General features: G+C 50.2%; 1 long non-coding RNA gene across 1 annotated transcript; it reads right to left on the reverse strand.

The window, feature by feature from the left end:
- Positions 9,139-11,817, reverse strand: LOC124902768 (uncharacterized). Its single transcript, XR_007062914.1, has 2 exons — positions 11,483-11,817; positions 9,139-10,101 (listed from the first exon to the last, which is right to left on the reverse strand). It is a non-coding gene; the product is annotated as an uncharacterized LOC124902768 (long non-coding RNA).

Consider the following 13,440-nt stretch of genomic DNA (forward strand, 5'->3'; position numbering starts at 1 on the left):
CTCCATGTTGGTCAGGCTGATCTCGAATTTTCGACCTCAGGTGATCCACCTGCCTTGGCCTCCCAAAGTGCTGGGATTACAGGTGTGAGCCACCACACCCAGCAGGTGACTTTTTTTTTTTGAGACGGAGTCTCACCCTGTTGCCCAGGCTGGAGTGCAGTGGCACAATCTTGGCTCACTGCAACCTCCGCCTCCCAGGTTCAAGCGATCTTCCTGCCTCAGCTTCCCTAGTAGCTGGGATTACAGGCATGCACCACCAGGCCCAGTTAATTTTTGTATTTTTAGTAGAGACAGGGTTTTGCCATCTTGGCCAGGCTGGTTTCCAACTCCTGACTTCAGGTGATCCACCCGCCTTGGCCTCCCAAAGTGCTGGGATTACAGGCGTAAGCCACCACACCTGGCCTCTTGAGTTAATTTCTGTATGGTCAAGGTTCATTTCTGGCTTGTAGATGTCCAATTGCTCAGCCTCCCAAAGTGCTGGATTAAAGGTGTGAGCTGACTATAGCCTCGAACTCCTTGGGCTCGGGCAATTCTCCCACCTCAGCCTCCCAAGGAGCTGGGACTACAGGTGCGTACCACCACACCAGGCTAATTTTTTTTTTTTTTTTTTTTTTTTGAGACGGAGTTTTGCTCTTGTTGCCCAGGCTGGAATGCAATGGCACGATCTCTGCTCACTGCAACCTCTACCTCCTGGGTTCAAGCCATTCTCCTGCTGCAGCCTCCCAGGTAGCTGGGATTACAGGCATGCACCACCACACCCAGCTAATTTTGTATTTTTAGTAGAGATGGGGTTTCTCCATGTTGGTCAAGCTGGTCTCAAACTTCCGACCTCAGGTGATCCACGTGCCTCTATCTCCCAAAGTGCTGGCATTACAGGTGTGAGCCATCTCACCCGGCCACACCCGGCTAATTTTTTAAATTTTTTGTAGAGATGGAGTCTCACTCTTTCCCAGGTTGGTCTTGAACTGCTGGGCTCAAGCAATCCACCTGGTTTGGTTTGATTTTTTTTTTTTTTTTGAGATGGGAGTCGTGCTCTGTTGCCCAGGCTGGAGTGCAGTGGCACGATCTCGGCTCACTGCAACCTCCGCCTACCGGGTTCAAGCGATTCTCCTGTCTCAGCCTAGCAAGTAGCTCGGATTACAGGCACATGGCCACCAGGCCCCACTAATTTTTCTATTTTTAGTAGATACGGGGTTTCACCATGTTGGCCAGGTTGGTCTCGATCGCCCTGACGTTGTGATCCGCCTGCCTCAGCCTCCCAAAGTGCTGGGATTACAGGCACTAGCCAACTGATATTTTGTTGACTGAAGATTTCAAACACATACAAAGTCGGTCTAATGAACCCTACATATCTGTCATCCAGCTTCATCTCCCCACAGGCAATGTTATTAACACATTCATTCCCCTTTCCTGGAATTATTGTGTGTGTGTGTGTGTGTGTGTGTGTGTGTGTGTGTGTGTGTGTGTGTGTGTGTTTGAGACGGAGTCTCACTCTGTCACCCAGACTGGAATGCAGTGGCACTATCTCGGCTCACTGCAACCTCCGCCTCCCGGGTTCAAGCAATTCTCCTGCCTCAGCCTACCATGTAGTTGGAATTACAGGTGAGCGCCACCACGCCCAGCTAATTTCTGTATTTTTAATAGAGGGTTTCACCATGTTGCCCAAGCTGGTCTTGAACTCCTGACCTCAAGTGATCCACCTGCCTTGGCCTCCCTGGATTATTTTGAATCAATTTCTAGACATCATTTCTTTTCTCTAAAAAGACTGAACATGATACAATCATCACATCCAGGCCGGGCGCAGTGGCTCAAGCCTGTAATCCCAGCACTTTGGGAGGCCGAGGTGGGCGGATCACAAGGTCAGGAGATCGAGACCATCCTGGCTAACACGGTAAAACCCTGTCTCTACTAAAAATATAGAAAATTAGCTGGGCGTGGTGGCGGGCGCCTGTAGTCCCAGCTGCTTGGGAGGCTGAGGCAGGAGAATGGCATGAACCTGAGAGGCGGAGCTTACAGTGAGCTGAGATCGTGCCACTGCACTCCAGCCTGGGCGACAGAGCAAGACTCCGTCTCAAAAAAAAAAAAAATCACATCCAAAATTTTTAAAAATGTATTAGGAATCATATTCCTAATTTTCTAACTTTTTAAAATTTTTATTTCTTTTAGAGATGAGGTCTCCCTATGTTGCCAAGGCTGGTCTTAAACTCCTGGGCTCCCAAAGTGCTGGGATGACAGGTGTAAGCCACTGTGCCTGGCCCTAATTTTCTATTTTCTTAGCTTATTAGCTGAAATACTTCTGTAGAAAAATCTTCCTCTCTCAGGCCGGGCACAGTGGTTCATGCCTGTCATCCTGGCACTTTGGGATGCCAAGGCAGGCGGATCACCTGAGGTCATGAGTTGGAGACCAGCCTGGTCAACGTGGTGAAACCCCGTCTCTACTAAAAATACATTAGCCAGGCGTGGGGCACAAGCCTGTAATCCCAGCTACTCGGGGACTGAGGCAGGAAGATCACTTGAACCCAGGAGGTGGAGGTTGCAGTGAGCAGAGATCACGCCACTGCACTCCAGCCTGAGTGACAGAGGGAGACTTCGTCTCAAAAGAAAAATAGGGCCTGAGTTTCATTACCCTTCGCCATGCTGTTTGTCTCCAGCACACCCTCAGGAAAAGCTACTTGTGGAATAAGAGTCCTTGAGGCTGCAGGTCCCAGCTGGGGGGCTGTGGCCTCCCTGGTTGCAGGGGACAGCCTCAGGGCAGGGACAGCTGGCAGCCTTAGATCTGTGGGGAATAGGGAGAAGCCTGAGGACAAGGAAGGAATGAGTGAGGTTCAGGGCTGTTTAGGGATCCCACAGACACTCAGTGCTTAGAGACGATGCCAGATCTCACTCCCTCTCCGCTCTTCCCTCCTGCCCAACAGGCCTGCACAGAAACAAAGCTCTGCCTTCAAGGCCACCACTGCCCACCTGGGCTGGGCATAACTCCTGTCTTGAAGTGGCAGTGGGTGGTGCTTCACTCTTGAGAGAGTGGCTCCCTTGTCCAGAGGGCTCCCAGGTCTCTGCAACTGACCAGGGTTGAGGTAGTCTCACTTTTTCATTTTTCCTCCCTGCTTTCCTTGCTGGTAACTCCAATCTGATGTAGCTCCCGCCTCCTCATTTAAATTTTTATTTATTTTTCGTTTTGTCTTTGAGATAGGGCCCTTCAGTGGCACAATCACAGTTCATGTGCAGCCTTGAACTCCTGGACTCAAGCAATCCTCCACCTCCTGGGTTCAAGCAGTTCTCCTGCCTCAGCCTCCCGAGTAGCTGGGATTACAGACGCCCGCCACCACATCGGCTAATTTTTTGTATTTTTAGTAGAGATGGGGTTTCACCGTATTGTTCAGGCTGGTCTCAAACTCCTGACCTCAGGTGATCCACCTGCCTCGGCCTCCTAAAGCGCTGGGATTGCAGGCGTGGCCACCGCACCCAGCCTGGATGCTGATTTCTAAGTGATAGCCACTGCAGGAGTGGGTGAGGGGGACCAGGTCAGGTCATTTGCTCTGGGCCCACCCAGAGCTATCCGGCAGCCAGAGCCTCTTTCCTGCCACCCGAGTCTATTCAGCTCCCAGGAAGGAGGGGTCCTGAGTCCCAAGCTCTGCTTTCATCTGATTTGGCCTCAATTTGTCCCCATCATCTGCACTTCGTATACAGCCTTATCGCTGTGCACATTCTTGTTAACATCAGGGATTTTTTTGCTTTGTTTTTGTTTTTTGAGATGGAGTCTCACCCTGTTGCCCAGGCTGGAGTGCAATGGAGCAATCTCATCCCATTGCAACTTCCGCCTCCCAGGTTCAAGCGATTCTCCTGCCTCAGCCTCCCAAGCAGCTGGGACTGCAGGCGTGCACCACCGTATCTGGCTAATTTTTGTATTTTACTAAAGACGAAGTTTCATCATGTGGCCCAGGCTGGTCTCAAACTCCTGAGCTCTGGCAATCCACTCGCCTCGGCCTCCAACAGTACTAGATTACAGGTGTGAGCCACCACACCTGGCCAACATCAGGTTTAAGTTGCAAGTGGATCCCAAAATGCAGCAGATCAGAAAGAAAGTACAAAACAATACAGCGTTTACTAAGAAAAAATCTGCCTTTGCCCACTTTGCTCTCAACTCCTATACTTGCACCTAGTTTTCACTTATCAATTATTTTGTTATTTTTCTTTTTTTAGGCAGGATCGCAATCCCGGCTCACTGCAACCTCCACCTCCCAGGTTCAAGCAATTCTGCTGCCTCAGTCTCCTGAGTAGCTGGGACCACAGGCATGTGCCATCACGTCCTGCTAATTTTTGTATTTTTAGTAGAGATGGGGTTTCACCATGTTGCCCAGGCTGGTCTTGTACCCTCCCTGAGGTCAAGTGATCCACCCACGTCAGCCTCTCAAAGTGTTGGGATTACAGGTGTGAGCCACCGTGCCTAGACTTCAACAATTATTTGTTACGCATTTTCACTATACCAGGCCCTTGCCAGGTGTTAGGGATACAGCAAAGAAACCCAAATGGTTCCTCACAGTTTTCAGTCTAGATGTAAAGATACTAAACCAATACACTAATTATGTGCAATAATGCACAATGGTAATATTGAGTAAAGATTGGGTTATTGGCCAAGCATGGTGGCTCATGCCTGTAATCCCAGCACTTTGGGAGGCCAAAGCAAGATCGCCTGAGGTCAGGAGTTCAAGACCAAGCCTGGCCAACATGGTGAAACCCTGTCTCTACAAAAATACAAAAATTAGCTGGACATGATGGTGGGTGCTTATAATCCCAGCTACTCGGGAGGCTGAGGCGGGAGAATCACTTGAACCTGAGAGGCGGAGGTTGCAGTGAGAAGAGATCATGCCATTACACTCCAGCCTGGGCAACAGAGTGAGACTCCTTCTCAAAAAAAAAAAAAAAAAAAAAGATGGAGTTATTTTGAGAGAAAGCAATATTGGCATCTAATTTAGATTGGAGGGGAGATCAGAGAGGACCTTTCTAAGAAAGTGACATTTTAACTGAGACCTGTAGCATGAGGAGAAGTTAGCCAGGCTGAAGAACAGAAAGGAAAAGCATTCCTTTACTTTTTTTTTTTTTTTTTGAGACAGAGTCTTGTGCCGTCACCCAGGCTGGAGTGCAATGGCACAATCTTGGCCCACTGCAACCTCTGCCTCCCGGGTTCAAGCTTCTCCTGCCTCAGCCTCCCGAGTAGCTGGGATTACAGGGGCACACCACCACACCCGGCTAACTTTTTGTACCTTTAGTAGAGACAGGGTTTTACCATGTTGGCCAGGCTGGTCTTGAACTCCTGACCTCGTGATCTCCCTGCCTTGGCTTCCCAAAGTGTTGGGATTACAAGCATAAGCCACCGCCCCAGGCCGGAGGAAAAGCATTCTAATAGAGGCATTAGAATGGACAAAGCCCTGGAGGTAGAGACATACCTTGGCCTTTTGAGCAAACGGGATAAGACCATGGAAGAGAGAATACACTAAACAAGGGCAGAAAGATCCAAGGTAAAACTGGGAGAGGGGCAGGGTAGGCTTTCCTAGGCTATGACAGGGCATTTGGATTTTTTTCCAGTATGGTGGAAAGTAATTGAAGTAACTTACATAACTGTTTGTTGTTGTCGTTGTTAATCACAATTAGCCATTCATTGAAAGTGGCTTGTTGTGGGGAGAAGCCAACATGGAAGCAGGAACACCCATTAGGAGGTGACTGCGGTAAATCAGGCCGGTTGGAGGAGTAGTGGCAGTAGAGATGGAGACAGGGAGAAGAACAATTTGATGATGCATCGTGGAGGTCGAAAAAACAAGTCAATAGTAGTGACTGCAGGAGAAGAAAAGGCAAGAATGGCCGGGCGTGGTGGCTCACGCCTGTAATCCTAGCACTTTGGGAGGCTGAGGCAGCCGGATCACGAGGTCAGGAGATCGAGACCATCCTGGCTAACACAGTGAAACCCCATCTCTACTAAAAATACAAAAAATTAGCCGGTGTGGTGGCAGACGCCTGTATTCCCAGCTACTCTGGAGGCTGAGGCAGGAGAATGGCATGAACCTGGGAGGTGGAGCCTGCAGTGAGCCCAGATCGCGCCACTGCACTCCAGCCTGGGTGACAGAGCGGGACTCTGTCTCAAAAAAAAAAAAAAAGAAGGAAAAGGCAAGAATGACTCTGAGGTTTTTGGTTTGAGCAAGTAGGTGAATGGTGAGGAGAGGAAGCCTGCAGGAGTAGCAGGTTTGAGCGTTCTGTGTTTAGTATCTGTGAGACAAGTCCGGGCACGATGGCTCACACCTGTAATCCCAGTACTTGGGGAGGCAGAGGTGGGTGGATCACTTGAGCCCAGGAGTTGGAAACCAGCCTGGGCAACCTGGTGAGACCTCCTCTCTACAAAAAATAAATAAGCTGGGCGTGGTGGCGTGTGCCTGTGGTCCCAGCTACTTGGGAGGCTGAGGTGGGAGGATTGCTTGAGCCCAGGGGGATCAAGCCTGCAGTGAGTCATAATTGTGCCACTGCACTCCAGCCTGAGTAGTGACAGAGCAAGATCCTGTCTCCAATTAAAAAAAAAAAAAAAGGAATCTGTGAGGCCAGGGGCGGTGGCTCACACCTATAATCCCAGCACTTTGGGAGGCTGAGGTGGGAGGATCACTGAGTTCAGGAGTTTGAGACCAGCCTGGCCAACATGGTGAAACCCCGTCTCTACTAAAAATGCAAAAATTAGCCAGGTACGGTGGCTCACGCTTGTAATCCCAGCACTTTGGGAGGCTGAGGCAGGCGGATCATGAGGTCAGGAGTTTGAGACCAGACTGGCCAACAGGGTGAAACCCTGTCTCTACTAAAAATACAAAAATTAGCTGGGCGTGGTGGCGGGCGCCTGTAATCCCAGATACTTGGGAGGCTGAGGCAGGAGAATCGTTTGAACCCAGGAGGCAGAGGTTGCAGTGAGCCGAGATCGCGCCACTGCACTCCAGCCTGGGTGACAGAGCTAGACACTGTCTCAAAAAAAGAAAAAGAAAAAAAAAAATAGCCAGACGTGGTGGCACGCGCCTGTAATCCCAGCTACACAGGAGACTGAGACAAGAGAATTGCGTGAACCCAGGAGGCAGAAGTTGCCCTGAGCTGAGATCACACAGCTGCACTCCAGCCTGGGTGACAGAGCAAGACTCCATCTCAAAAAAAAAAGCGGGGGGGTGGGGCCGGGCACAGTGGCTCACGCCTGTAATCCTAGCACTTTGGGAGGCCGAGGTGGGTGGATCACCTGAGGTGGGGAGTTCGAGACCAGCCTGATCAACACGGAGAAACCCCGTCTCTACTAAAAAAAAAAAAAAAAATACAAAATTAGCTGGGTGTGGTGGCACATGCCTGTAATCCCAGCTACTTGGGAGGCTGAGGCAGGAGAATTGCTTGAGCTTGAACCCAGGAGGCGGAGGTTGTGGTGAGCTGAGCTCACGCCATTGCACTCCAGCCTAGGCAACAAGAGCAAAACTCCATCTCAAAAAAAAAAAAAAAAGGAATCTGTGAGACATCAGGGTGGTTATGTCAATGTCAAGTAGATATTTATAAGTCTAGAGTTCAGAAGAGAAGTCTGAGCTGAAAATGTAAATACACTGAGAGTCATCAGTATATAGATAGCACTTAATATCAAGTTCTATGTACTGACATAGAAAGATATCCACAAGGCCAGGCACGGTGACTCACGCCTGCAATCCCAGCACTTTGGGAGGCCGAGGCGGGTGGATCACTTGAGTTCGAGAGTTCGAGACCCGCCTGACCAACATGGAGAAACCCTGCTTCTATTAAAAATACAAAATTAGCCAGGCGTGGTGGTGCATAGCTGTAATCCCAGCTACTCGGGAGGCTGAGGCAGGAGAATCGCTCAAACCCGGGAGGCGGAGGTTGTTGTGAGCTGAGATGGCACCATTGCACTCCAGCCTGGGCAACAAGAGTGAAACTCCATCTCAAAAGGAAAAAAAAAGATAACCAAAATACAATTTGAGGAATTAAAAAAGAGTAGGAGAACAGTGTGTTCAAAATTACTCCAAATATGGCAGAAATTATGTTCACATATATATGAAGTCTAAACAGAGAAAACATCTTGATCAATATAGGTGTCAAAGAGCAATGGCCATCTTTGAGGACTGGGTAGGCAACATAAATGGGGCAATTGTTTGTAGCCTCTGTACAGTTTTTGTTTTTTACAAGAAATTGCTTTTTACAATTTTTCTTTTTTTTTTTTTCTTTTTTTTTTTTGAGACTGAGTCTTGCTGGAATGCAGTGGTAAGATCTCAGCTCACTGCAACCTCTGCCTCCTGGGCTCAAGTAATCGTCCTATCTCAGCCTCCCTGGTAGCTGGGACCACAGACACACACAATCCTGCCTGGCTAATTTTTTATATTTTTAGTAGAGAAGAGGTTTTGCCATGTTGCCCAGGCTGGTCTCAAACTCCTGAGCTCAAGCAATCTGCCCGTTGGGATTACAGGCATGAGCTACCGTGTCCAGCCTATAGTTTTTGTTTGTCTGTTTGTTTTTTGAGACAGTCTAGCTCTGTCACCCAGGCTTGAGTGCGGTGGCATGATCTCAGCTCACTGCAACCTCAGCCTCCTGGTTTCAAGTGATTCTCGTGCCTCAACCTCCTGAGTAGCTGGGACTACAGGTGAGCACCAACACACCTGGCTTTTTGTATTTTTAGTAGAGACCAGGTTTCGCTATGTTGGCCACATGTTGGCTAGGCTGGTTTCGAACTCCTGATCTCAAGTGATTCACCTACCTTGGCCTCCCAAAGTGCTGGGATTACAGGCATGAACTACCGCACCTGGGCTACAATTTTTGTTGTTGTTGTTGTTGTTTTGGGTTTTTTTGTTTTGTGTTTGTTTTTTTTTTTTTGTTCTTTTAGTATTTATTGATCATTCTTGGGTGTTTCTCGGAGAGGGGGATTTGGCAGGGTCATAGGACAATAGTGGAGGGAAGGTCAGCAGATAAACATGTGAACAAGCATCTCTGGTTTTCCTAGGCAGAGGACCCTGCGGCCTTCCACCGTGTTTGTGTCCCTGGGTACTTGAAATTAGGGAGTGGTGATGACTCTTAATGACCATGCTGCCTTCAAGCATCTGTTTAACAAAGCACATCTTGCACCGCCCTTAATCCATTTAACCCTGAGTGGATACAGCACATGTTTCAGAGAGCACGGGGTTGGGGGTAAGGTTATAGATTAACAGCATCCCAAGGCAGAAGAATTTTTCTTAGTACAGAACAAAATGGAGTCTCCCATGTCTACTTCTTTCTACACAGACACAGTAACAATCTGATCTCTCTCTTTTCCCCACATTTCCCCCTTTTCTATTCAACAAAACCGCCATCATCATCATGGCCCGTTCCCAATGAGCTGTCGGGTACACCTCCCAGACGGGGTGGCAGCCGGGCAGAGGGGCTCCTCACTTCCCAGACGAGGCGGCCGGGCAGAGGCGCCCCCCACCTCCCTCCCGGACGGGGCGGCTGGCCAGGCGGGGGCTGCCCCCCACCTCCCGGACAGGGTGGCTGCCGGGCGGAGACGCTCCTCACTTCCCGGACGGGGCGGCTGCCGGGCGGAGGGGCTCCTCACTTCCCAGACGGGGCGGCTGCCGGGCGGAGGAGCTCCTCACTTCCCAGACGGGGTGGCTGCCGGGCGGAGGGGCTCCTCACTTCTCAGACGGGGCGGCCGGGCAGAGACGCTCCTCACCTCGCAGACTGGGTGGCGATCGGGCAGAGACACTCCTCAGTTCCTAGACAGGGTCGCGGCCGGGCAGAGGCGCTCCTCACATCCCAGACGGGGCAGTGGGGCAGAGGCAATCCCCACATCTCAGACAATGGGCAGCCAGGCAGAGACGCTCCTCACTTCCTAGACGGGATGGCGGCCGGGAAGAGGCGCTCCTCACTTCCCAGACTGGGCAGCCGGGCAGAGGGGCTCCTCACATCCCAGACGATGGGCGGCCAGGCAGAGACGCTCCTCACTTCCCAGACGGGGTGGCGGCCGGGCAGAGGTTGCAATCTCGGCACTTTGGGAGGCCAAGGCAGGCGGCTGGGAGGTGGAGGTTGTAGCGAGCCGAGATCACGTCACTGCACTCCAGCCTGGGCAACATTGAGCACTGAGTGAGCGAGACTCCGTCTGCAATCCCGGCATCTCGGGGGGCCGAGGCAGGCAGATCACTCGCGGTCAGGAGCTGGAGACCAGCCCGGTCAACACGGCGAAACCCTGTCTCCACCAAAAAATGCAAAAACCAGTCAGGCGTGGCGGCACGCGCCTGCAATCCCAGGCACTCTGCAGGCTGAGGCAGGAGAATCAGGCAGGGAGGTTGCAGTGAGCCGAGATGGCGGCAGTACAGTCCAGCCTCGGCCTTCATAACTTTGGTGGCATCAGAGGGAGACCGTGGAGAGGGAGGGGGAGGGGGAGAGGGAGAGAGAGAGGGAGCTACAATTTTTAATAAAGGAAATTTTGTACAATTTTTTTTTTTGAGATGAAGTCCCGCTCTGTCACTCAGGCCGGAGTGCAATGGTGCAATCTCAGCTCATTGCAACCTCTGCCTCTGGGTTCAAGCGATTCTCTTGCGTCAGCTTCCTGAGTAGCTGGGATTACAGGTGTGCGCCAGCATGCCTGGCTAATTTTTGTATTTTTAGTAGAGACACGGTTTCACCATGTTGGTCAGGCTGGTCTCAAACTCTGGACCTCGTGATCCACCCGCCTTGGCCTCCCAAAGTGCTGGGATTACAGGCGTGAGCCACCATGCCCGGCCCATTTTTTTACAATTTTTAAGGAAAGCTACCCATGAGCCCATTTGGTAGCTTGATACTACTAATTAGCAGGCTGTTAGCTGCATGCTTCCTGGGCTCCTTCCATGCACTAACTCCCACCACTAAAGGGCATCTTAACCTCAGGGTGCCTGGGTTTTGATGTTTTCTACTTAATTTGACAAGTGTACATAGAGAGCCGCCATCTGTTAATTAAGAGTCGGGCATGAATAGAACACAATCCCTGCACTTGAGGAGCCTTTTTTTTTTTTTTTTTTTTAGAGACAGAGTCTCGCTGTGTCATCCAGGCTGGAATGCAGTGGCGCGATCTCGGCTCACTGCAAACTCCGCCTCCTGGGTTCACCCCATTCTCTTGCCTCACCTCCTGAGTAGCTGGGACTACAGGTGCCCACCACCATGCCTGGCTAATTTTTTGCATTTTTAGTAGAGACGGGGTTTCACCGTGTTAGCCAGGATGGTCTTGATTTCCTGACCTTGTGATCCGCCTGCCTCGGCCTCCCAGAGTGCTGGGATTACAGGCATGAGCCACCGTGTCCGGCCAAGCTTTTCAATTATTGGTTTTCAACTGACTACTAGACAAAAATGATGACAGGATGAGCAAAGGACCTTGGAGTTGAGAAATTAATTCTTCAGGGACAACTCTGGAAGGCTTCACAAAGGGGTGACATTTCATTCTTTCAATAAACATTGATTCAGAGCTTACCATATGCCAGATAAAGTCATCAGCTTCACGGAAATTACTTCTAGTTCATATTTCGGAGCCTTATATAATAGAAAATTTGTGAGGCAGGATTGGAAAGATGTAAATTCCAGGCAGAGGGGCCGAAGATGCTGAAGTTCGTAGGAGCAGACTAGAGTATGGAGGATATACGGAGCATAATAGAGCAGACACTTGGAAACCAGTTAGAAAGATTTTACATGAACCCAAGCAAGAGAGGAGGAAAATTGAAATGAGGTATGCTCTGAGTTTAAAAAAAATGTAAGATAGGCTGGGTGCAGTGGCCCATGCCTGTAATTCCAGCACTTTTGAGGCCAAGGCAGGAGGATCCCTTGAGCCCAGGAGTTCAAGACCAGCCTGGGCAACATAGCGCAACCCTGTCTCTATTATATATATATATAATTTTTTTAAGGGTAGGGGGCTGGGCGTGGTGGCTCATGCCTATAATCCTAGCACTTTGGGAGGCCAAGGTGGGCAGATCACCTGAGGTCGGGAGTTCAAGACTAGCTTGGCCAACATAGTAAAACCCCATCTCTACTAAAATACAAAAATTAGCCGGGCATGATGGTAGGTTCCTGTAATCCCAGCTACTCAGGAGGCTGAGACAGGAGAATCGCTTGAACCAGGGAGACAGTGGTTGCAGTGAATGGAGATCACACCACTGCACTCTAGCTTGGACAGCTGAGTGAGGCTCGGTCTCAGAAAAAAAAAGGAAGACAGCTGGGCGCGGTGGTGCACCCTGTGGTCCTAGCTACTCAGGAGGCTGAGGTGGGAGGATCCCTTGAGCCCAGGAGTTCTAGACTGTAATGCATTATGCAGTTTGGGTGTCCACACTAAGTTCAGCTTCAACATGGTGACCTCCCAGGACAGGGGACTATCCAGGTTGTCTATGGAGGGGTGAAACAGCCCAGGTCGGAAATGGAGCAGGTCAAAACTCCCAAGCTGGGCTGGTCTGATGGTAGTGGGTTATTAGAATTTAATAACATTAGTGTCACTAAAGTTGGTATACAACCCCCCACTGCTAAATATGACTGGCTTAAAAAATTTGTTTTAAAACCCCAAAGCTCCCATGCTGATCAATAGTAGGTTGGCACCTGTGAACAACCACTGCACTCCAGCCTGGGCAACACAGAAAGACCCCGTTTCAAAAAATAAATGGGGACAGACCCCTTAAACATATTAGAAGTCCAGTGAATAAGACAACTTGTGCGCAGTGAATGTTGGGTGGGGTTTAGTAAAAGGGAAGATGTTGAGTTCCATTTGACACAAGCCAAGTTCCAGGTGCGTTGTCTTATGCCTGTAATCCCAGCACTTTGACCAGCCCAGCATGGGAGTTTTACGCCTGTAATCCTGGCACTTTGGGAGGCCGAGGCGGGTGGATCACCTGAGGTCAGGAGTTTGAGACCAGCCTGACCAACATGGTGAAACCCTATCTCTACTAAAAATACAAAATTTAGCCAGGCATGGTGGCGCACACCTGTAATCCCAGCTACTCAGGAGGCTGAGACAGAAGAATCACTTGAACCCAGGAAGCGGAGGTTGCAGTGAGCTGAGATCTAACCACTGCACTCCAGCCTGGGCGACAGCAAGACTCCGTCTCAAAAAAAAAAAAAACCTGGAAGTTTGGGGTGAGTTATTCTGGGTTTTTTTGTTTTTGTTTTTTGAGACAGAATCTCGCTCTGTTGCCCAGGCTGGCAGGCTGGAGTGCAGTGGCGCAATCTCGGCTCACTGCAACCTCCACCTCCTGGGTTCAAGCGATTCTCCAGCCTAAGCCTCCTGAGTAGTTGGTACTACAGGTGCGTGCCACCACACCCGACTAAGTTTTTGTATTTTTAGTAAAGATAGGGTTTCACCTTGTTAGCCAGGATGGTCTCGATCTCCTGACCTTCTGATCCGCCCGCCTCGGCCTCCCAAAGTGCTGGGATTACAGGCGTCAGCCACTG

The sequence above is a fragment of the Homo sapiens genome, chromosome 11 (genome assembly GCF_000001405.40).
Source record: "Homo sapiens chromosome 11, GRCh38.p14 Primary Assembly".
Taxonomy (NCBI): domain Eukaryota; kingdom Metazoa; phylum Chordata; class Mammalia; order Primates; family Hominidae; genus Homo; species Homo sapiens.